Genomic DNA, 24165 nt, shown 5'->3' with positions numbered 1-24165 from the left:
ATTACAGGCTTGAGCCACCCCGCCCAGACCTCTAGGTGGCTCTTTAAGGGAGAGGCAATATATTAATAGTACAGTGCCCCCATAGGCTTCGTAGAGAATGTTGGTTCTAAGGGAGGGAATAGGCTTAGGGCCACCCTGCCCCTGCCCTGTGCTTCCTGGCTGGGGGATGGTGAGGAGGTCACTTAATCTCCCTTTGCCTCAGTTCCCTAATTATTAATGCTAGACTAGTCACAGGGCTGCCGTGAGGGTTAAAAGAGCCTAATGTTGGTGGCTAGAAGTTGAGGTCTTAGACTGAAGTCTCTGCTGAGGAAAAGACCAGAAGAACAGATAGGCTCTCAGGTGAGACTGGACATTTTGCTTTGTTTTGATTTGTTTTGTTTGGCTTGTCTGTATTTCCCATGTTTTATGCAGGAAACACACATTATTATATAATTAAAATAATATTCAGAGTGAAAATAAAACAGCAGGGACTACATTTGGTCCCCAGGGGGAAGCGGCTGATCAGGAGAGAAGCCTGTCCATTGAGGGTGGGATGGAAGGGGGCAGTTCACCTGTGTCAGAGACACAGACACGGAGGTCCTGGCTGCCCCAGGGGCCCAGGAGATGGCAGCCCTGCGTCCTCAGGGATAGATGAAAGTGACATTTTCTGTCTGGGTGTGCCCTAACACTTCCTGAGAGGCAAATCCCCTTCCCCTACTCGGGAGGTGCCAGGCAGGGGAGGTAGCACACAGGAGAATGCTGCCTGCTTACGGGCACCAGTGCCTTTCCCATTGGTTGTCCTCAGCATCAAGTCCTCTGAACATCAGTTGAGAGGGACCTTGAACCCTCAGAGGTCAGGCCAGATTCCTTCCCAGAATCTCCCCTCGGTGAGCCTGCCAGGGCTGCTCGCGTTGGGCGGATGTACAAAACGGAGGCACGTCTCAGACTTCCCATTTGGGCCCGTGGTGTCCAGCCAGCAGCCCTGCTAGGCTCAGCCACGCTGCCCCACCCCCAGCGGCCCTCGCTGAGGCAGCCCTTTGAGGAGAGCTGGGCTTGGTGGGTCCACAGCACTCTCCCTGCCAGTGACGTTAATCCGCAAAAGAAAGTCAAACATTAGCCCGGGAAACAGCTTATGCCTTATATAAGCCCCCCTGGGGGAGGCACAAACACAGCTTGTTAGAGCTGAGCTGCCCTACTACAGCAGCTGCCGGCCCCTAGGACAGAGCAGGGACCTCAACTACACTGATCACCAGCCCCATCGGATCCAGACCCGGCCACCAGGTGAGGAGGGATGGAGGGCCTCCCCAGCCCAGGCACCTAGGAATCCCAGGGATCTCCCAAGGCCAGGCTCCACTTGCGACTAGCCAAGCCCCTAGTGCCCTCTGAGACCTGCTTCGGGCTCTTACAGATACTCCAGCATGGTGGGCCCAGCCCCAGGGAACTGCCAGAAGCCAGGAGGCTCTGAGCTTGGGGAGGCCTTTCCCAGCAGACAACCTGAACTCTGCTAACCCTGTGTATCTGCCTGGAGCAACTGGGGACATTCACCACCCACCCTCTAATCTGTCCTTTGTAGCCAACATCCAAGGCTGGGCCCCTTGGTCCCTGCTACGTGTCCTGCACTGCTCCATGCATGCAGCATGTGCAACCAGCCTAGCTGAGCACACACATGCTCGTGTCCGCAGGTGCACACGCTCACAACACATACCCGAGCTCACGCAGCTGTGTCCTTATGCTGCAGCCTAAATGAGCACATACCCATAGATACCTTTGTGTCCACACACCTGGACACACACTTCCACCTTTGATCCCACAGCCCTCCGTGCAGCTGGGCTCTTCCTCAGACATCCACACAAGAATCTGCGGCTCCACATGCCTGAGCTTCCACATCTTTACACACTTACACATGCTCTGCTCCACACACCTGTGCTCGCATATCCACCTGGTTCACCCTCCCACATATCGTTCCATAGACCCACGCACTACCAGGCACAAATATACCTCTCCCTGGCCTATGCCCTGCCCACAGCTCTGGCTCGTCTTGCCCCAGTGCCATGACCTTCTCGGAGATCCTGGACCGTGTGGGAAGCATGGGCCATTTCCAGTTCCTGCATGTAGCCATACTGGGCCTCCCGATCCTCAACATGGCCAACCACAACCTGCTGCAGATCTTCACAGCCGCCACCCCTGTCCACCACTGTCGCCCGCCCCACAATGCCTCCACAGGGCCTTGGGTGCTCCCCATGGGCCCAAATGGGAAGCCTGAGAGGTGCCTCCGTTTTGTACATCCGCCCAATGCCAGCCTGCCCAATGACACCCAGAGGGCCATGGAGCCATGCCTGGATGGCTGGGTCTACAACAGCACCAAGGACTCCATTGTGACAGAGGTATGCCTGGGCAAACCCTCTCCCTCCACTTACCCACGTACCCCCATACCCTGCACCGCTGGTGGGCAGCAGAGGAGGCTGGGGTCTGGTGTTCCCAGGAACTGAGGACAGGTCACTGGGCAGGCAAAGAGGAAGGACCTGAGTGCAGAAGCTCATGCACCAAGACCCTTGGCTTCTTCCCACTCAGAGTCCAAGCAGTGCTTCAACAAACTGCTACTGAGGGCCTGTTCTGTGACGGGCACAGAGCTAAGCTCTGGGAATACAAAAATGCACCATGCCTGCTCCCAGGGGGTCTACAGCCCGGTGGAGATAGCACCCATTAAGGAAAACACCACACAAATAAGTGTAAAATTGCAACTTCAAAGTGACCTTGCACTATGACCGACCTCTGGGGTGGGTGTGAGAGTGAGGGCGTGGGGAATGGGTGTTGAAGGAATCCTCCCTACAGAAATGCCCCTGGAACTGAGATATAAACATCAGTCAAGGGCCAAACAGGCAGTGAGGGAAAGGAGGAAAAGTCCGTCTTGTGCAAAGACCCCAAGGTGGGAGGGCTGTGGAGGAGGGACCGCACAGAGGGGAGGCTTGAAACACTCCACAGCAGACCCAGAAAATGTCTCATCCACACACACACAGTCACTCATGGGTTCACCTCTCATTCCCACAGCCCTTCACTGATTCATTGACTCTCTCACCTGCCACCTCGGGGAAATCCAGAGTTAAATCAGACTCTTCAATGAACTGACAGGCCAGTCAGGAGCCTATGATAGGATGAAGATGAGAAATTGGGGATTGGCATGTATTGGGCGTCACTAACTGACAGGCACATTTGGGGGCTTTGTAGACACTGTCTTGTTTGATTCCAACGTGATGCTCCGTTGAAGGTGATTTCTATCTCCCCTTACAGAATTTTTAAAAATAAAAAACCTAAGACCCAGAGAAAGGAAATGATTGTCCAGTGCCACATGGCTGGTCAGTTTCAGAACTGGAATTTACAGCTAAAGCCCATAAGAAGTACAGGGAGACAAATGTTTACGGGGGTCCAAATGAGGGAGAAACTGTTGGATTCAAGGGAGGCTTCATGGAGGAGGTGGCGTCTGAGCAGTGAGCAGAGACCAGTGTTTTCATCCTCCCTTGGGTACCATGAACCCCTCAAGGGCAGGAGCCTGTTTTGCCTCATGAGAAGAGATGCGTTCGTTGCAAAGCCCTTACCTGGTGCCAAGCACTATACATCTGTGGGTTCCTGGAGGCCCAGGAGATGTAATCTCTTTAAGAGAAGTATTATCTCCAGTTCACAGATGAGGAAACTGAGGCTCAGCTTGATTCCATGACCTTCCCATGTTATACACGGCTAGAACCTGGCAGAGGCAGGATTTGAATTTAGGGCTATGTTCAGAGTCTGTGTGATTGTTATTCATTTGTTTAACAAATATTTTTATATAAAGTGCTTACTATGTGGTAGGCATTGTTCTAAGAGCTTCACAGATATTAACACTTTTAACCTTCCTGAACACACTGTAAGATAGTTTGTATTGTAATTCTCTCTCTCAGATGGGGAAACTGAAGCACAGAGAGGTTAAGTAGCTTGCTCGAGGTCACACAGCTAATAAGTGGCAGATTCAGGACCCAAACACACACACCTGCCCTCCACACCATGACATTTGCTGCTCTCATATACCTAGATTATATCTCCTCCCTGTCATGTTTGCTACTTTCTCCCCCCAGCACCAAGCATAATGCCTGAAACCCATCAAGTATCCATTTATTGACACCCAGTGCATAATACTGAGGACATAAAGTCGAAGAGCCGCTAGCCCTGCGTTCCCTCCAGGAGCACACCACCAGCGAGACGCAGACCCGCTCTCAAGGATCATGGGCAGTTTGGTGGAATACACACGTTTCCCAAGGCAGGGATTTTCTGCTGCTTTGTTTACTACTCTTATCTGCAGCAGCTAGAATAGTGCCTGGTACAGAGGAGGTGTTCTGTGGAATGAATGAATATGCGCTTTGTACACTCAGAGTGCTCTGAGGCCCAGGGGAGGGTTATCTAACCAGCCTGGAGTGAGGATTGAGGCGGGCTTGCTGGAGTCAGTAATGCCCACACTGGGCATGGAGAGGTAGGAGTTAGTGAGCAGCGCACTCCAGGCAAAAGGAAGGATGGTGGGGGAGAAGGGTCAAACGCAAAGACACAGAGGCAAGAAGAAAGGCCGGGCGCAGTAGCTCATGCCTGTAATCCCAGCACTTTGGGAGGTGAGAGTTAGTGAGCAGTGAACCCCAGGCAAAAGGAAGAGTGGCGGGGAAGGAGGGTCAAATGCAAAGGCACAGAAGCAAGAAGAAAGGCCGGGTGCAGTGGCTCACACCTGTAATCCCAGCTACTTTGGGAGGCCAAGGCAGGCAGATCACCTGAGGTCAGGAGTTTGAGACCAGCCTGGCCAATATGGTGAAACCCTGTCTCTACTAAAAACATAAAAATTAGCAAGGTGTGGTGGTGCACACCTGTAGTCCCAGCTACTCAAGTGGCTGAGACAGGAGAATTGCTTGAACCTAGGAGGCGGAGGTTGCAGTGAGCCAAGATCACACCACTGCACTCCAGCCTGGGCACAGAGCAAGACAACCCCATCTCAAAAAAAAAAAAAAAGAAAAAGAGAGCAAAAAGTCAAGATTGCAGTTTCCAGGGGAAGGCTGGAGGAGTGAGCAGTAGGATATGGAGGTCCCCAGACATGGAGCTAGAGAGGACAGCAAGAGGGCCCAGCTTGGATGCTACAGAGGTAAAGGTGTGGCCTTTGTCCTAAGGGCAATGGGGAGCCAGTGACTGTGGTGGTGTTAAGCAGGAGAGTGACACCACAGGTCACCTTCGAAGGCTCGTCACTCTGACTGCCCCTTAGAGGGTAGTTTGTGGAGTGTTTTAGTCCAGCAGCAGGGAGACCCGTTAGCAAGCTGCACAGGGATCCAGGACAAAGACGACAGATAGAAGGGACAGTCAGAATAGATACCAGGAAGGCCAGGAAGTTGGAGTCTCTGGGACCTGGTAACTGAATGCAACTGAATGATGCAGGGAGTGAGGGACAGGGAGGGAGTCAAAGATGCCTCAATAGCCATAAGTAAGTTTCCAAATGTACAGGTGACTTGCCGTGCACCTGAGACCTGGGAAGACAAAGAGGAGTAAAACCCACCGCCCATGTCCTCCAAAAACACAGAACCTAGCCAAAGAAACAAAAATCTCACAGAGAACAATTAAATCACCATCACAATAACATTTACTGCATGCTCACACTGTGCCAGATGGTTCTAAGCACTTCGGCCACATAAACTCATTTCATCTTCACAATAACCCTCTAAGGTTAGCACCTTTCTTATCCCATTTCACAGATGAGGAAACTGAGGGACAGGTCATTGGCCCAAGGCCTCACGTTTCATACAGGATGGAGTGGGGAGTCAAAGTCAGGAGTCAGGCTCCAGAGCCTATGCTCCTCAGGAATGCACAACCCCCAACCCACAATCCGTGAGGCTGACTGTGCACCCTGCTGCCCAGGGACATCACAGATCCTCCTTCCCTGCCTTTAGTAGCTTCTCCAGGGCAGAGACTGTGCCTCTCTCACCCACCCTGTCATCACAGGACTAGATGCATGGCAAGTGCTCAATCAACACTGAATGAAGGACTTGCCCCCTCAGAGCCTGGCGGGAGAGACAGACGGGAGGGATGTAGACACCGCTCACTGCTGGGAAGTGGCTTCCTTTCCAGAAAACCCCTCGAGAAGCCTCTAGAAAGGCCAGACGGAGAGAGAGGTTGCAGGTCTTGTACCCAGTCAAGCATCAGTTCACGCTTGAGCCAGTTCCCAGTCACCATTTCAGCAGCTGAGATAGTGTGAACCGCCATCCCAGCAGGACGCCGGGGGTCACCAGGCCTCAGGGCACCGCACCCTTCTCTGGGTCAGGTCTGGCCCAGGCATTCATCAGGTGCCAGATCCCTAGAACTCTCAGCTGTGAGAGCACTTAGGAAGTGTCCCTGCCCGGCCATTAATGCATTAGTGGCTGGACCCAGCCAGCCACACTGGTACCAGCACAGCAAGGGCAGAACCCTTTCATCTTTCTGTTTGTGGTTCAGCCATAACAAGTCCAGTTCCATGTGCTTGGGTCAGGTTCTGGTGCCCCTCAGCTAGAGAAGAGCAGTAGCTGGACCTTACCTAGAAGTAGGTCTCTGACACAGAGGCGGGAAACCGATGCGTTGGCTCCAGGTGAAGAGGGTGGTAATGAGGAAGGCAGGGTATTTGGTGAAGAGCGAGATCAGTCCAGGTGACACCTGTTAGTAGAAGCAAGGGGCCATCTCGCAAACAGTGTGGGATCGTGAACCAGAGCTCACAACCTGCCTCTGCCAATGATCAGGAATATCATGATCCCTAGAAGTCTCGGATTCCTCATCCGTAAAAAGGGCTAAGAAAGCAAGTGTGAGGGTGAACGGGGATAACGCAAGCACAGTACTGAGCCCAGGGCCTGGCACACAGCATTCCATCTTCATGTTAGCTGCACTCCTTGCTGGTGCCATGCTTTTTTGCTGTTGTTGTTAATAGGGATGTCTGAGAACTAGAGGGTTTGTCCCCATCACAAGAGAGGGGGATCCCCTGGTAAAAAGGGGAGCCAGCTCTCACAGTTGTTTCTAGCTCACCCAGGCCCTGACTTTGCCTCCCTCCTCAGCCTGGCCCTCCTCTTCTGCTCAGATCCAGCTCCTCCCCCACAGTCAGCAACCTGGCAAGTGACCTCGCCACTCCAGCTTCAGTCCCCTCATCTGTAGAATGGGGATTTTAAGGAGGGTCCCTCTTGGAGGGGGCAAGAGGGCTGGAGGGCTGAGCTGGTGGAGTGCACAAGCCCAGCACTGGGTCTGGACAGGAGTGGAGGCGGTCTCCCTCCCCCTTCTGATCCCCTAAGCTTTCCTGGCAGGGGTGACCACAAATTCCTTTCTCTTGGTGCAGCAGAGAAGGTCAGGATTTTTCAGAATGAGCTTTACTAGGACATTAAGAGGAAACAAAGGCCTTTAAGTCTAGAAAGCATGGGAACACGAATTCTGGACTCTGGGCTCCCTGGAGAGGCACGTACCCCATAGTCCCCACCACTGAACCTCAGCTTGTGGGCCTCAGGGCCTGGGCCTGGCCATGGATGAGCAAGACCCATCTCTCTAAGGGCCCTGGGCTTCGTCTCTGGGCCTTGAGCCTCCCTGCCTTGTCTCCAGGGCTGCAAGAAGCCCGTCCCCCACCCTCTCCAGGGTGGAAGACTGCTCCAAGGAGGCCCCAGGTCAGCTGCTGGAGAAGCAGAGAGGCTGCCCAGTGAGGCCTCTTGTGAGCAGACTTCCACCCTGGGAGGGTCCCCTGCCGGGTCTCTGGTCAGCCGCCTCTGACCCTCCTTCATCCCAATCCCCAGTCCCCAGTTGCCCATCTCTCATCTCCAGCAGCACTTCTGCTTCACACCCCCATTTGCCCACCCTCAGCCCTGCCGGGGGCTCATCCTCCTCCATCTCTTTCCTCGCCTCCAATCTGACTCCTGGGAAAAGGCCTGAGAGCCCCACCCAAACCACTTTTCAAGCCAGCCTGATCCCTATTGACAGCCCTGACCGAGAAAGCCCCTGATTATGTGCGCAGGAGGAGGTGGGACCTTCCTGTGAGCTCTCCAGGATCAGGAACTCACCAGTGAGCACCCACTGTACGCAGGGACCTGGGCTGGTGTTTGCATCCCTTCTCTCGTGACCCTGCAAATCAGGCACTATTGTCCCCATTTTACAGAGGAATACACCGGGCTCAGATCCAGAAGGTGGCCTTCCCAGACATGATGGTGGGTCAAGCTTTTACAGAAGACGGGGGGTGTTGGGAGGTCCTGACTACAGAATCCATGCCCTTTCTACTGCATGAGCTGTCCCTGTGAGCACAGGCCTTACAATGACTTAATGGCATTAATAGTGACAATAATAATAAGACAGCTATTGTGAATTGAGTGCCTATTGTTTTCCAGGTATAAGTGCTGGGTGCTTTTCATTCCTATGTCATTCACAAGCCTGAGAAGCAGGTACTAGGTACCTGTGGGTACTGATGAAGAGGCTGAGCCACACGGAGGTTAAGTAATTGGCCCCAGAACACATAGCTCCTAAGTGGCAGAGCTGGAAACTGATGTCTTTTTGACTGTCCCCAAGATACCTGGCTCATCCTCTCTGGTCCTTTTGCCCCAGCACAGGTTCCTCTAGGGATCCAGGAATGCACATGGGCAGCAGCAATTCTCCCCTAAGCTAGACCTGACCTAGCTCCAAAAGGCCCCTGAACTAAGGCAGGCTGTTTCCTGGTTCAGCCAGCTCCCCGCACACACAGCAGGGCCCCATCCTGCTGATCATGGTCCTGATCACAAATGGCTCGTCCTGACTCTCTACAGCCCACTTTCTGCCTCATGCTCTGCAGGGGCCACCTAGCCTCACTTCTTGCTGCTCACACTTTGGATATGATGTCAGAGCAGCTTATCTGGCTCTGACCTTGACTGCCTCCTTGACCACAATCCCAGCCTATGCTGGGCTATGCTGTCTTACAGTGGCTCACAGTAACAGCTCCCGTGTATGGTGCCTTTCCTTCAGCAGCCCAGGCCTCAGAGCACGGCACGCAGGGAGGCATCAAGGAGCTGTGCTCAGGGCCAAGGGTAGCATCTTGGGTCCAGCAGACCTGAGTTTGAGTCTCTTTCTTGAAATGAATTAAGCTATGCTTGAGCAAGCCACTTACCCTCTGAGCCTCAGGTTCTTTGTCTATAAAAAGAGATAACAATAGTACCTACTTTATAAGGTTATTACGCCATTAATTGCAAAGCTTTCTCCTGAGCATCGTGCTTTTCTCTTTCTTCCCCACCACCTTCCTGATGCATCAGCCCATACAGAAAGGCATGGCAGTGAGTTTCCTACCCTTTCCTTCCAGAACCCAGCTCCCTTGGGGCTCGGCTACATTCCAAGAAAGGAAAAAGATGGTCAAGAACACTGAACTAGGCCAGGCGCAGTGGCTTATGCCTGTAATCCCAGCATTTTGGGAGGCTGAGGCAGGTGGATCACCTGAGGTCAGGAGTTTGAGACCAGCCTAGTCCAACATGGTGAAACCTCGTCTCTACTAAAAATACAAAAATTAGCCAGGCATGGTGGTGGGTGCCTGTAGTCCCAGCTACTCCGGAGGCTGAGACAGGAGAATCGCATGAACCTGGGAGGCAGAGGTTGCAGTGAGCCGAGATCGCACCACTGTACTCCAGCCTGGGAGACAGAGTAAGAAAAAAAGGAACACTGAACTAGAATACTGGGAGCAAGAACATTATGTGGAATTGCCAAAAGTTGATGAGACGGATCAGCCAAGGTCATGCCGAGGACTAAACAGAACCACCAGGAGGTTGAGTAACTGGCTCTGTTCAACCAACAAGTTGCCTTTCTTCCCTCTCTGGGCTTCCTCAGTAAAATAAGGATAATTAAATCCAAGGACTCCAAGTGGCACAGCCTATGCATGGAGACACAGTCCAGGGAAACACAAGTCACACTCAACACTTTGAGTAATAATCAAGACATCTGCTATAGGTTTTCTTAACAGGGCCTCCTCAGGGTCTTGGTACAGAAAGCATGCCAAAATTCTCCCAGCCCTGTTCACTCATTAATTATTTGTTGAGGAAACATTAACATATACTATGTAGCAACTATTCTGCTAGCTATTAGAGATAAAACCTCAAGGCTGGGCGCGGTGGCTCACGCCTGTAATCCCAGCACTTTGGGAGGCCTAGGCGGGAGGATCATGAGGTCAGGAGGTCAAAACCATGCTAGCTAACATGGTGAAATCTTGTCTCTACTAAAAAAAAAAAAAATTAGCCAGGCATGGTGGCGCATGCCTATAATCCCAGCTACTCAGGAGGCTGATGCAGGAGAATCACTTGAACCTGGGAGGTAGAGGTTACAGTGAGCTGAGATTGCACCACTGTACTCCAGCCTGAGTAACAGAGCAAGACTCTGTCTCAAAAAAAAAAAAAAAAAAAAAAAAAAAAAACTCAAATGAGACATTCTCAGTCCTCAGCAAGATTACAGAATACAGGACAGCAAACAAGTGAATAAGCAGTTAGAATGCCATGTAATAGGTGCCCTATTGGAGGTAAGAACAAGAAAGGGAAATGAGGAGCACCTTACCTACCCTGGGCGGCTAGACACTCTTATCCATTTATCGAACTGACAAACACTTATTGACCACCTGTTTGTGCCAGACGACCATAAAAGAAGTTCCTGGCTCTCCAAAAAGACGATATTGACATGAGTTTCAAAGGACTGCCAACACTACTAGAATAAGGGGATCATAACCAGCACCAAAGCAAAGAGAAATGCAATAGCATGGAGCTTCTGTAGTGTAACCTGATGGAATCCAAGGACTTGCATGGCTCAGACTACCATGGAGACACAGTCAAGGGAAACACAAGTCACACTCTTGACACCCTGAGTAATAATCAAGACATCTAGCCTAAGTTTTCTTAAAAGGGCCTTCTTAGGGTCTTTGCACAGAAAGCATGCCAAAATTCTCTCTAAATACCTTCCTCTCTCCCAGAAATTCCAGGATGCCTTTAAAAATCTCTCCCATTTGCTCCACATCTGGTTCCCTCATTGCCATGCTTGTCTAGTCCCAATCCTCTTCCAATCACCCCTTATAAAGCCAGCAGTTCCTTCAAATATTCAGGAATCGTGCCGTATATTAGTTTCCTAGGGCTACCATAACAAAGCACAACAAATTGGGTGGCTCAGAACAACAGATTTTATTGTCTCACAGATCTGGAGTCTAGAAATCCAAACTCAAGGTGTTGGTGTGTCCTCTCCAAAGGCTCTAGGGAAGAATCCTTCCTTGCCTCTGCCAGCTTCTGGTGGTTGCCGGAAACCCTTGGCATTCCCCAGCTTGTAGACGCATCAGTCCAATCTCTGCCTCTGTGGATCATAACATCCCCATGTGTCTCTCTCTTGTCTTCTTATAAGAACACGAGTCATAGTGAATTAAGAACCCACTCTACCTCAGTATAATCTCCTCATATTATAACTTAGCTAATTACATCTACAACAACTCTATTTCCAAATGAGGTCGTATTCTGATCCACGAAGAGTTAAAACTTCAATGTATTTTTTGGAGGGACACAAGTCAACCCATAACAGTTGCAGATCTCAGATCTGAGTTTCAGTCTCTGTCTTGAAATGAACCAAGCCATGCTTGGGCAAGCCACTTACCCTGTGAGATCAGATTCTTTGTCTATAAAAAGAAATAACACGAGTACCTACTTTATAAGGTTATTATGGCATTATTTGCAAAGCTTTCTCCTGATCTTCAGGGAAGATTTGTGTTGGTCTTCAGGGAAAACAGATTTGTGTTGATCTTTAGGGAAGCCATGGCCATATTTTTCTCATCAGTTCTGATGTGCTTCATTAACCATGAAATCTCTGGGAGCAATTTAGAGTGCAATTGAAGTTCAATTTTTTAAAAATATTTAACCACAAATCACTCTTCCTTCCAAGCTTCTAAATGTCATTGAAGGATGATAATCCTCCAGTAGACAATTTTTCCATAGTAGGTTTCCCAGTCTGACTGTGAAGAAAAAACACTTCTCTCCTGCTCACTGGCGTGTGGTTATATCCTCAGCACATACAGCCTAGACACTATCCATATTGACATGCACTCATTCTGGTGAAATGAGGCACATAGCATTTGGAGTGTGGGCCCTATGACCTCTCATGTAGACACTGGCAGATCTCTAACTTCTAAGGCTCTCAATCCCTCTGTTCTTTCTGTGGAATGTTCACACATTCAATTCCACAAGTATTGAGTGCCTAGTATGTATCGGATACTGTTCTTGATAATGAAAGTACAGTAGTAAACAAAACAGACTAAAAGCCTTATCTTCATCAGGCTGATATTCTTGGGAGAGAAACATGCAATAAACCAAAAAGATGGAAAATCATTCAGCATTCTGATGGTATAAGCACTACTGAGAAAATTAAGTAGGGTAGAGAGGTATAGGCTGCTGGGAGTTATAATTGTAAATAGGGAGGTCTCACTGAGAAGATAACATTTGAGCAAAGATCTGAAGGAGGTGCAAGTCAAGTAGCTATCTGGGAGAACATTCTAGAAAAAGAGAACAACATACACCAAGACTCTGAGGTAGGAGCATGCTTGAAATGTTTATGGAGCAGCAAGGCGAACAATTCAACGAGAGTGGAGTATGTGAGGGAGAGGGCAGTAGCAGGTAAGAGCAGAGAGGTGACAGGGATAAAGATGTTGGCTGATTTTCCAGGGCCTCGTAAGCCATTGTAAGGATTCAGGCATGTTCTAAACAGGTCTCAAAAGTTTATTCCAGGAATGATATTTTCTGTAAATTGCTCAATTTTCTGGTAGAAACCAGCTCATGACAGTTATTCTAAAGCCTACATGATCACAAGTATCATGGTAGAAACCAAGATCCAGCAGATCTGGTCTCAGATGGTGGAGCAGGACAGCAGCCTGAAACCTTCCAAGCAGGTCTGACAATTGACCTTCTCATGATCCAAACAGATTATTGATTTCTTAAGGCACTAATTATCATGGAGGTTGGGATAAAAATCTAATTTCCATTTGCAACTTCTTATGGGATGTATCAGGATAGGCTAGGTTATTATAACAACAATAATTCATGGCTCGAAAAATATTGAAGTGTTTCTCTTTCTCATGTAACAGTTCCAAGGTGAGTAGCATTTTAGGCCAATGGGTGGTTCTGCTTCACAGAGTCATTCAGGGACCCAGACTGACAGCAACTCTCCAGAGTTGTTCTAGTTGTCACCATTCCCACCAACAGGAGGGGAAGAAAGCATGCAAGTCCAGACTAGGGAATCCCTCTTAAGCAAATGAGGTGGAAGTAACATACATCTCTTCTACTCACATTCCATTGTCAAGAACTACATGGCCCCACTCAGTACAAGGTCATCAGGGAAATGTGCTATTTACTATGGAAGAAGGGGTGAATGAATTTAGGTGAACAGTAGGTCTCTCCTTTAGATTTTCCTAAAGGGACTTTACACAGCATGCCACAAAGTACCAGAAGTCTCTCTAGATGGCCCCTTGCACATTCCTCCACCTCACACCCCCTTGCTTCTTCCTTTACCTTTGTCCCTCCTCCATCTCCTCCCAACACACATACCATGCAGGCCCCCTTCCCAACTAAAACGGACCACCAGGCTTGCTGGCCATGCTGGGCCACTCTGAGACAGCTGTAGGACCCGGAGATTCCATCCACCACCATTCTCCCTCACTTCCAACTGAGGAAAGTGAGAAAGAGCTCCCTGGAATGTTTGGTTCTTCACCTTTTGGAATGTTTTGCTTCCAAAACATTCTTGTGAGGCATTTCTATTGAATTAAATTCTCCACTTCATCGCACAAGTAATTCAGATGGCTGGAGCAAAGGGTGCATGTTGGGGATTAGCAGATTAGACCAGACAGGTAGGCAGGGGCCAGAGCATGGAGGGCCTCATAAACCCATGTTAATGGGGCATTATCTTTACCGAAAGGGCAAGGAGAAGCCAGTGAGCACTTTAGGCAAGACAGGCACCTGATTTGAGTGGCGTTTTAGCCCTTCAGGTTATCAGGGAAAGAATGGCTAGGAAGGGATGAGGCCGAAGTCCAGTAGACCTGTCAAGAGGTTGCTGCAGCAGCCTCATCTGGGCCTCAGGTTCTTTATCTGTAAAATAGCATGATATTAGCACCTACATAATAAGGTTATTGTGAAGATTAAAGTTAAAACATGGAAAGAGCTTAGAACAGTGCCCAGTACCTAGAACACCCTCAATAAATATCAGTTGTCATTATTAATCTAAGTGCAAGATGATGAGGCCTACACTAAGGCAGTAGTATTGGAAATAGAAGAATCCAGATTCAAGAAATATCAAAAAGCTAGAATCTTGAAGATCAAGTGATTGTGGAGTAGGAGAGGGAGGAAGGAATCAAGAGGGTTATCAGCATGATCTCATTTATATATGGTATCTTTAAAAAAAAGTCCAATTCACAGAAGTAGAGAGTAGAATGATGGTTACCAAAAGCTCGGGGGGAAGGGGCTGGGGAAAGGAATGGGGAGTTACTGATCAAAGGGTACAAAGTTTCAGCTAGATGGGTGGAATACGTTTTGAGATCTGTTTCACAGCATGATGGCTACAGTCAAGAATAATGATGTATTGTTTATTTCACCATAACTAGAAGGGTGACTTTCAAAAGTATCACCACAAAAAATGTCAAGTAAATGAAGTGATGTTAATTAGCTTGATTTAATCACTTCACATTGCATACATATATCAAAACACCACATTGTTTTCATATATGTAATATAATTATGATTTGCCAATTAAAAATGATATAATTTTTTTTAAATAAAAATAAAAAAGAGGCTGGATGTGGTGACTCACATCTGTAATTCCAGTATTTTGGGAGGCCAAGACAGGCAGATCACTTGAGGCCAGGAGTTAGAGACCAGCCTGGGCAACATAGTGAGCTCCTGTCTATATACAAAATCCAAAATTAGCCAGGTGTGGTCATGCACACCTGTAGTCCCAGTTACTTAGGAGGATGGCTTTAGCCCAGGAGACTGAGGCTTCATTGAGCCATGATCATGCCACTGTAGTCAGCCTGGGTGACAGAGTGAGACCCTGTCTCAAAAAAAAATTAATTTAATTAATTAATTAATTAAAAAGAGAAGGTTACCAGTCCCTGAGATTGGGACTTTAATGAGAAGTGGGGTGATAAGTCCCATTGAATCTGGGATGTGCCTGTGACTCTATCCAGGCAGAGTTCTCAAGTGGGACCACTGAATCTACTCCTCTGTGGGTCAGAAGATAGGTTGGGCTGGAGTTGTAGATTTGGAATCTTCAGTATAAAATAGGAATTGAAGCCGCAGGAACAGATGGCATCGCCTGGGGAAAGTGGAGAGAGAGGAGGATTCAGGAAGAGCCCTGGGAAAGCTTCAAGGACTAGGCAGAGAGAAACGAGCTGTGAAGGAGACGAGGAGTGCAGAACAGCAGGAAGCCTGACGGAGGGCGAGATCAGCAGCATCCACATCTGCCAGAGGGCAAGCCAGGCCAGGATTAGGGACGTTCCATTGTGCGCCGTAAAAATGAAACTTCAGTGACCTTGATAAGCACAGATTCAGTGGATGGGTTGGGGGCAGAAGTGAGACATGAAAAGGAGATGAGGATGGAGTGACAGCAAGTACAGCTCCTCGTTCAAAGGATTTGGCTTTGAAGGGAAGAGAGAAATGGAGTGAATGAGGAAAGGAAAGAGGTTTTAAGATGGAGAGATTTGGACACACCTAAATACTGATGAGGAGGAGCAGAGAGAGAGAGAGACTGGATCTGCAGGATGAAGAGAGGTGGCAAGGATAGAGGAACGTCCCTGTAGAGGAGAGAAGGCAAGGTCAAGGGGGTACGCAGAGGGACTGGCCTGGGCTATGTGAGGGGCAGGGAGGAGGCAAACAGGGAAGCAGGCAACTTGGAGAGGAGGAAGCAGTTGAGGCCAGACCTGGATGTGGTAGCTGAGTGGACTTTGAGAGCCATATGACAGGCCACACATGCCTGAGGGATGCAGGTCAGGGGCCGAAGAGCCACAGACAAACCCAAGGAGCTCCGAGCCGGGCTGAAAAAGGAAACGGTCCTTGGGAGGTAGGGGCAAAGTCAGGGCGCTGGGAGAGGAAGCCCACATGTATGAGGCCACAGGCTGAGCATGGCTGAGCAGGCTGTCTACACTGAGTTAGGCTAGCCCTACCTTTCTCTTGTGCAGTGGGACTTGGTGTGCAACTCCAACAAACTGAAGGAGATGGCCCAGTCTATCTTCATGGCAGGTATACTGATTGGAGGGCTCGTGCTTGGAGACCTGTCTGACAGGTGAGACATGGGGGCACAGCCCATGGAAGCATGACCCATGGGGACAACCCTTCCCTACTCTGCTCCACCCGTGCACCCGCAAAGAGGCAAAGAGCTGGGGGAGGGTGGGATGGCTCTTGCTGTGTGGCCTTGGGCAAACCTCACTACCTTTCTGGACCACAGCCTTCTCTCCACCCCAAAGCCCTTACAACTGGAATCTTCCAGCCTTCCTTTTTTTTTTTTTTTTTTTTCTCTTAAGACGGAGTCTCACTCTTATTGCCCAGGCTGGAGTGCGATGGCACAATCTCAGCTCACTGCAACCTCCACCTCCCGGATTCAAGTGATTCTCCTGCCTCAGCCACCCGAGTAGCTGGGATTACAGGCGTGTGTCACCACGCCTGGCTAATTTTTGTATTTTTAGTAGAGACGAGGTTTCACCATGTTGGTCAGGCTGGTCTCAAACTCCTGACCTCAAGTGACCCTCCCATCTTGGCCTCCCAAAGTGCCGGGATTACAGGCATGAACCACCGTGTCTGGCCTCCAGCCTTCCCTTCTTCCAGGGGAAAAAACCTCCAGGTTTTGGGACACAGCGTAGTGGCTGTGTAGCAGTGGAGGCAGAGGAGATGGACTGCTTAGAGATGGGCGGTCCTTTGACCCCTGCTCAGTCAGCTAAGCTGAGGCGGATGTAGAGGAGATCACTCATTAACTCAAACCTCTAATTGCAAACTTGTCAAAAATAGCAATTACCAAGAAAGCTGTGTCTGGGGAGGGAGCTTTATGTGCCCAACAGGGAAAGGTTGGGGGTCGGATTCAGCCCTTTGCCCCACAGCATGCAGAGTCACTCCTCTTGGCAGGCACACTGTGGCTAACCTGGCCCCTCCTCTCCTTCGAGCTACAGGTTTGGCCGCAGGCCCATCCTGACCTGCAGCTACCTGCTGCTGGCAGCCAGCGGCTCCGGTGCAGCCTTCAGCCCCACCTTCCCCATCTACATGGTCTTCCGCTTCCTGTGTGGCTTTGGCATCTCAGGCATTACCCTGAGCACCGTCATCTTGAGTGAGCTGCAGTGGGGCATGGAGCTGGGCTTTGGGGAGCACCATCCAGAAGCCAAAAGAGAATGGGGTCTGGGTCTGGCTCAACCACAGGCTCCCTGTGACCTTGGTCAAGGTGCCACCCCCTCTCAGGACCTCAGAGGCCTCACTTAAATTTAAAAATGACAACAAGCATAGTAATAGCAGCTGTCAATACTGAGGACTTACCCTGGACCTGACACTCTGCTAGGTACACAATCTCATTCAATACCACTTGCAAGTAAGTGACACTATTATTCCCATTTTACAGATCAGGAAACTGAGGCAGAACAAGGAAAGTCACTTGCCACTGGAGAAGCAGTGGTTAAGAGCATGAGTTTGGAAACAGACACACCTAGGTTTGAGTCCTATCGCCTTGAGCCTCAGCTGTGGCATCTGTAAAATGGGGATGATGAACTTAGGGTCAGCATCAGAACAGCAGGAAGACCCAACGGAGGGCGATATCAACAGCATCCGTGGGGAGGATGTCAGTAGCCGTGGGGATGCAGAAGCTGGTGCCCCTTCACGCGGAGGTGCCTGGGACCTAGCAGAACACTAATCTGGTGCTTGGACTCCTCCCACAGATGTGGAATGGGTGCCTACCCGGATGCGGGCCATCATGTCGACAGCACTCGGGTACTGCTACACCTTTGGCCAGTTCATTCTGCCCGGCCTGGCCTACGCCATCCCCCAGTGGCGTTGGCTGCAGTTAACTGTGTCCATTCCCTTCTTCGTCTTCTTCCTATCATCCTGGTATGTGGCCCTCTCCTCTTCATCTGTTTCCTTAGGTGCCCCAGGGCCAAACAGGGGAGCCCATACCTGCCCAGGCTGGCCAACTCTGTGTCCCCGGGCACCCAGTCCCAGAGTCAGGGAAGGGCACTCCAGGGAGGAGGAACTACATAAACAAATGCATGCTGCAGGAGAGAGCAGGGATGGGGGCACGTGGGGAAGGAGGGCCTGCCTGCAGCTGAAGAAGAGGGTAAGTGGAGGTGGACGGGATGGAGACTGGCTGGGAGAGCACAGAAAGCTGGGGGGCCTGGACTTCATATGGAGGGAGGTAGAAAGCCACAGAAAGAGTCTATGGTGCTACAGGCCTGATCAAGTTTCCATTTGTGAAATAATAGCCCAGAAGGACAGACCCAACTGAGTGGGGACAATAGACAGATGGGAGGGGATGGTGCTGGGAGGAAGATTCGGGGAGACTAATCTGGGATATATCTTGAAGGAAGAATCTGGAGAATTGGGGACTGCTGGAGTCGAAGTACAAAGGAAAGTTTAAAGAGAAGCCTGAGCCTGGGAACCTGGGAAAATGGAGGTGCCTGGGTCAGAGACCCAGAGTGGGCAGAGAGCTCATTACCAACATGTTGAACCCGAGGCCACACTGAAAGACAGGAAATGGGTCTTTAGAAGGTAGTCAGAGCTGGCCGGGCACGGTGGCTCACACCTGTAATCCTAGCACTTTGGGAGGCCAAGGCAGGGAGATCACTTGAGGTCAGGAGTTTGAGACCAGCCTGGCCAACATGGTGAAACCCCATCTCTACTAAAAATACAAAAATTAGCCGTGCATGGTGGCGCATGCCTGTAATCCCAGCTACTCAGGAGGCCGAGGCAGGAGAATCACTTGAACCTGAGAGGTGAAGGTTGCAGGGAGCCAAGGTCACGCCACTGCACTCCAGCCTGGGCAACAAAAGCAAAACTTCGTCTCAAAAAAAAAGGTAGTCAGAGCCAAAGAGCAGGAAATCCCACAGGCGCTCAGGAAAAGAAGTGAAGTCTTGGAGCGACCTTTTATTGAGCATCTGCTATGTGCACAGCCCGTTTTGGGCATCAACCTACGTCGTCTCTGATCCTCATGGCTTCTCTGTGTGAGGGAGACATTATTGTCCCCATTTTGCAGATGAGGAAACTGAGGCTCAGAGATGTGAAGCAGTTCCTCAAAGTTACACAAAAAGATGCAAAGCTGGGATGGAACCTCAGCTCGGAAATGAGAATAGCAGCTCCCAGAGGGGATGGGCAACCTAGGCGTGAGAGCACTCAGAGTCAGGAGGCAAAATAAGGGTGGGCGATCAGCAGAGCACAGTTGAGAGCTTGGGCCAGTTCACTGTGTGACTTGGGGCAAGTCTCATGCCCTCTGAGCATCAAGATTTTTCTAGGTGGCTGGGTGCAGTGGCTCACGGCTGTAATCCCAGCACTTTGGGAGGCTGAGGGGCGGATCGCGGGGTCAGGAGTTTCAGACCAGCCTGGCCAACACAGTGAAACCCCGTCTCTACTAAAAACACAAAAAATTAGCCGGGTGTGGTGATGCGTGCCTGTAATCCCAGCTACTTGGGAGGCTGAGGCAGGAAAATCACTTGAACCCGGGAGGTGGAGGTTGCAGTGAGCAGAGATCATGCCATTGCACTCCAGCCCAGGCGATAGTGCGAGGCTCCATTTCAAAAACAGGAAAAAAAAGAAAAATATTTTTCTAGGTAAAATGAAGATAATGTTGCCTGTCACCCAGAGTTTCATGGGCCTGGTACACAGGAAGGCTCACTAACTGTAAGCCATTCCTGCCATAATTCTCGGGAAGAGGAGGATAGAGTGCCAGGCCCTTGCCATGGTTTTGGGAGGAAGTCACTGATAATCTTGGTAAGAGCAGGCTCAGAAGACCATCAGGGCAGGAGGAGTGATGGGCCCAGGAAGCTGCCACCATCAGCTGGGGCAGTGGCCTGAGGCCAGGCAACCAATGTCCACTCCCTGAGGGCCTCACCGGATCCAGGTCACCCACAGGGGCTACAGCTAAAGCTGATCCTGCCTTGGACCAGACTTCTCCAAACACCACTCCTTTCTCCCCACATCTCAACCTCTTCCTTTCCTCTTATCCTGGTGACCCTCAGGAACTGCTCAGAATGAGCCAATCTCAAAAGCATAGCCTGGGGGCAAGGGAGAGTGGGGGTGACTGCCTATTTGCCAATCCCAAGACCCCATGCTGTGCTCACTCCCTCCCCACAACTCCCCCAGCAGAGTTAGTCCTTTGCAGGGAGAATCTGAAGGTCCCAAAGCCTAGTCCCTGACCTCACCTTAGCCTCCATCCCCCTCCCAAGCTGCCCTGTGGCTGCAGCCCTGCCCTTTCTTCTCCAGAGAGACTGGGAATGCAGCCCAAGGAAGGCTGGGGAGGTGGATGTGCAGGACCCTCCAGCAGCAGTCCAGCCTTGAACATGCCATCCCCTCCCCCAGCCCCACCTGCCTTGGCCTAGAGCCTGGGGCTCCTAGTTAAGGAAGACACCCAACAATAACAAGTGGCCCAGGTCGGGGGCAGAGGAAAGTGTCTTCTGGAAGGGGAAGAAGAGAACACTGGAATTTGTGCTGGCTGCAGGCAGCCCAGGGGCAGAGTTTGTCCAAGTTTAAATTCCATGAAATCTGCAGTGAGATAGCTCAGGTTTCTGGTCCTCCTACCCCTTGGCCCTGGCTGTTGATGTTCTTCCAGCCTCTCAAAAGGGGCTCTGGAGTGGGAGGAGCCACTGTGACTGGTCTCTGGCCCCCAGGTGGACACCAGAGTCCATACGCTGGTTGGTCTTGTCTGGAAAGTCCTCGAAGGCCCTGAAGATACTCCGGCGGGTGGCTGTCTTCAATGGCAAGAAGGAAGAGGGAGAAAGGCTCAGCTTGGAGGTAGGGGCTGAGGACTATAGTCTGGGAGCAGAACCCCTGTGCTCCACTCTTGGGCTGGCCCCTCCCCTTGCCTCTGTTCCCCTGGCTCACAGCCTATACCACATCTGATTCCCTGAGCTCCTCTAGAGGCACCACGCCTGCATCTCCCTCTCTTCGTCCTGCCCACTAGCTGGTCATTAATGGCACCCCTCCCCCTCCTCTGCCCGAAGGAGCTCAAACTCAACCTGCAGAAGGAGATCTCCTTGGCCAAGGCCAAGTACACCGCAAGTGACCTGTTCCGGATACCCATGCTGCGCCGCATGACCTTCTGTCTTTCCCTGGCCTGGTAACCCCCCTCTCCCTGCCCACACCCTGCCAAGGAAGGGGTGATAGACAAGGCCTCCAGTAGGCTCACTTAAGGGCAAGGCCTAGGGCATCTGAAAGAGAAGTCAGAGAATCCCCTCTCCTGGGCCACCACAGCCCAGCCCCAACCCCAGAAATCTGCTGCATTCCTGCCCCACACCCAGGTCCAGCCATCAGGGTCTGCTTCCCTCTGGGGTCACAATGCCCCACCCCTCACCCACAGGACAAATGTTCCAGGCCCCTTCCCCAGCTCACATCCCTGCCGCTCAGTGTCCCCATGCTCTCCCTCTCTGTCACTGCCCCCCTCTGGGTCAGCTCTGCCCTCTGGAACCCCACAGAGCAAGGCTAGACCAATGGGTTTCAGACTCGAAGACAAAAATTATGTTTATCTCAAGTTTTCTCCTCTGTCTGACTTTCTCCTGCTCCCTGAAAGCCCTTTCTGTGACCTGGTTTCTGCTTCCCATCCTGGCCATTTCTTTGTGAATAGGATTCAATTTGTCCAGGAACCCTTCAAAGGGATCCCACAGTTCAGAGAGAGGAAGGGAAACATCTGACCCAGGCATACAGCTCAATGCTCACCTCGCCAGTCTGGATGTTAAACTGCTGCCCAACCAGGAGAGATCATTTACTGCCTCCTTTGGTCTCCGAGATTCCCTCCAGTCCTGATCTTCTCTAGAGTCAGTTATTGGCACCTTTGCCACCACACCCTGGACCATGCCCACGTCAGACATGACCAGTCAATCACAGCACTTTCTCCCTGAGCCCAGACACGATCTCAGAAACCTCAAAAGGACACTCAAGCAGCCCCTATCATCAGTTGCAGTTGGCACAAGAAGTGAAGCTATTCATCATCCTGGTGACCCAATGACCAGCATGGGGAGTGGCCTCTGCCTGGCTGCAGGTGCTAACCAATCCTTCTCTGCCTCTCAGGTTTGCTACCGGTTTTGCCTACTATAGTTTGGCTATGGGTGTGGAAGAATTTGGAGTCAACCTCTACATCCTCCAGATCATCTTTGGTGGGGTCGATGTCCCAGCCAAGTTCATCACCATCCTCTCCTTAAGCTACCTGGGCCGGCATACCACTCAGGCCGCTGCCCTGCTCCTGGCAGGAGGGGCCATCTTGGCTCTCACCTTTGTGCCCTTGGGTGAGAGACTGGGGCTACCCCAGAACCCTCTGGAAGAGGCTGCCAGGTTGGGTGCCAGGGACTTCACTGCTGGCTCTGCCTCTAAGTCACTGTGTTACCTTGAGCAGGTCCCTGCACTCTCTGGGGCTCAGGGTCTCTCTTCTAGAAAATAACGCAATTGGGCTAGATGACATGAAAGCTCCTTTCCAGATCTGACTTGGACTGGGCAAAAAGTATGGTGGTATCTGGATAGTGTGAAAATTTTTGAGGTATTGAGAGTGTCCTGAGTGACATCACTGTAGAGATAAGCTGAGATGGTAAAACGACAGAGCTCATGCTCAAGAAAGACCCCACAACCTACTCCATCATGACCTTGGAAAAGCTACGTTTATTTTATATGGGTGTTAGTTGGTTGATAACACCTATACCCTTCCAAAAGAACTTGAGGTATTTTAAGACAAGAACAAGAACATATACAACAAAATATAAATGGAAATAGAGGATCAGAGGCAGGGGAAAACACAAACATAGCAGGACACAGGCATGCAAAGCATTACTCAGCTTTAAGTTTGGATCTGAGCTTCTTGGAAGCCAAAGCAAAAAGGGAGACAAGATCAGCTAAGGAGTGAGAACTCTTAGGTGCTCCTGAACTCCAAGGCCCACCACATTTTCTTCCCTCTGCAGACTTGCAGACCGTGAGGACAGTATTGGCTGTGTTTGGGAAGGGATGCCTATCCAGCTCCTTCAGCTGCCTCTTCCTCTACACAAGTGAATTATACCCCACAGTCATCAGGTAGGTGCTGGACCTGGGGCCAGGCCCAGCCAGAGGACACAGGTCAGGTGGGACTGTGGCATTGTCCTGTCCTCTACCCAGGGGAGCCATCCTTTATGAACCCCACACACAGGCTACCAATCCCTACTCTGAACCCTCGCAGGCAAACAGGTATGGGCGTAAGTAACCTGTGGACCCGCGTGGGAAGCATGGTGTCCCCGCTGGTGAAAATCACGGGTGAGGTACAGCCCTTCATCCCCAATATCATCTACGGGATCACCGCCCTCCTCGGGGGCAGTGCTGCCCTCTTCCTGCCTGAGACCCTGAATCAGCCCTTGCCAGAGACTATCGAAGACCTGGAAAACTGGTCAGTCACTGCCTCTGGCCCCATCAGTGCTCCTCCCTGGGGAAGCAGGTCTGGGCCCAGGGCTTTTCCTTAGCTCTCTGTCCCTAGGTCCCTGCGGGCAAAGAAGCCAAAGCAGGAGCCAGAGGTGGAAAAGGCCTCCCAGAGGATCCCTCTACAGCCTCACGGACCAGGCCTGGGCTCCAGCTGAGGACAACGGAACCCCCTTTCCCTGCCCTCCAGAGACTGATCCTAGCCAGGCACCTTAGGAGTATAGGGAGGCCCCATATAGGTCCATCCTCCTAGGATGAAGCCTTCTGAGAGCTTGGTGAAGGTGTCTCCATCACCACCACCAGAGCCTCCTGCCCAGCCCTGGCCAGTTCAAAGGTTCAGCCATCCCTGCCCTTGTTCTCCCTGCAACCCAGGCCCTGCCATTCTTCTGTCTAGCCCTTCCCCACTGGCCACCTTCCCCCACTGTCCCGGTCCTCTTCCCCTGAGGTCCCCTGATATCCCCTGGCTCAGTCCTAACAAGACTGAGTCTTAACAAGATGAGAAGTCCTCCCCTTCTTGCCTCCCACACTTTTCTTTGATGGGAGGTTTCAATAAACAGCGATAAGAACTCTA

At 50.9% G+C, this 24165-nt stretch overlaps 1 protein-coding gene across 5 annotated transcripts, besides 2 other annotated features; it reads left to right on the top strand.

Moving 5' to 3' along the window:
• Positions 1-1147: 1147 nt before the first annotated feature.
• On the top strand, positions 1148-24165 carry SLC22A8 (solute carrier family 22 member 8). Of its 5 annotated transcripts, none has more exons than NM_001184733.2 (11): positions 1148-1260; positions 2279-2363; positions 16166-16269; positions 17147-17301; positions 17900-18068; positions 20837-20960; positions 21170-21285; positions 22233-22447; positions 23111-23219; positions 23362-23565; positions 23653-24165. In NM_001184733.2, the coding sequence occupies exons 2-11, from the start codon at positions 2304-2306 to the stop codon at positions 23750-23752; spliced, it is 1356 nt and encodes a 451-aa protein (NP_001171662.1). In that variant the 5' UTR covers positions 1148-1260; positions 2279-2303; the 3' UTR covers positions 23753-24165. The 5 variants fall into 5 exon arrangements, with proteins under 5 accessions (NP_001171662.1, NP_001171661.1, NP_004245.2 ...); NM_001184732.2 differs by having other exon boundaries at positions 2027-2363; NM_004254.4 differs by having other exon boundaries at positions 2006-2363.
• Positions 1289-2143: an enhancer, noted in NCBI's record as "H3K27ac-H3K4me1 hESC enhancer chr11:62782318-62783172 (GRCh37/hg19 assembly coordinates)". NCBI's record gives its function as "activates a minimal SCP1, AML or CMV promoter by ChIP-STARR-seq in naive H9 embryonic stem cells {active_cell/tissue: H9 hESC(naive)}" and the evidence as "EXISTENCE:reporter gene assay evidence [ECO:0000049][PMID:30033119]".
• Positions 17621-18538: an enhancer, noted in NCBI's record as "H3K4me1 hESC enhancer chr11:62765923-62766840 (GRCh37/hg19 assembly coordinates)". NCBI's record gives its function as "activates a minimal SCP1, AML or CMV promoter by ChIP-STARR-seq in primed H9 embryonic stem cells {active_cell/tissue: H9 hESC(primed)}" and the evidence as "EXISTENCE:reporter gene assay evidence [ECO:0000049][PMID:30033119]".

Source organism: Homo sapiens, chromosome 11 (genome assembly GCF_000001405.40).
Source record: "Homo sapiens chromosome 11, GRCh38.p14 Primary Assembly".
Lineage (NCBI taxonomy): Eukaryota > Metazoa > Chordata > Mammalia > Primates > Hominidae > Homo > Homo sapiens.
The sequence above is the reverse complement of the archived record's forward strand: the minus strand, read 5'-3'. Positions and strand labels throughout refer to the sequence as shown.

Coding starts and splice junctions, on each gene's coding strand:
- SLC22A8 (NM_001184732.2), top strand. CDS start 2,031: ATGACCTTCTCGGAGATCCTGGACCGTGTGGGAAGCATGGGCCATTTC. Junction 22,448..23,110: donor TCTCACCTTTGTGCCCTTGG/GTGAGAGACTGG, acceptor TTCCCTCTGCAG/ACTTGCAGACCGTGAGGACA. Junction 23,220..23,361: donor TTATACCCCACAGTCATCAG/GTAGGTGCTGGA, acceptor GAACCCTCGCAG/GCAAACAGGTATGGGCGTAA.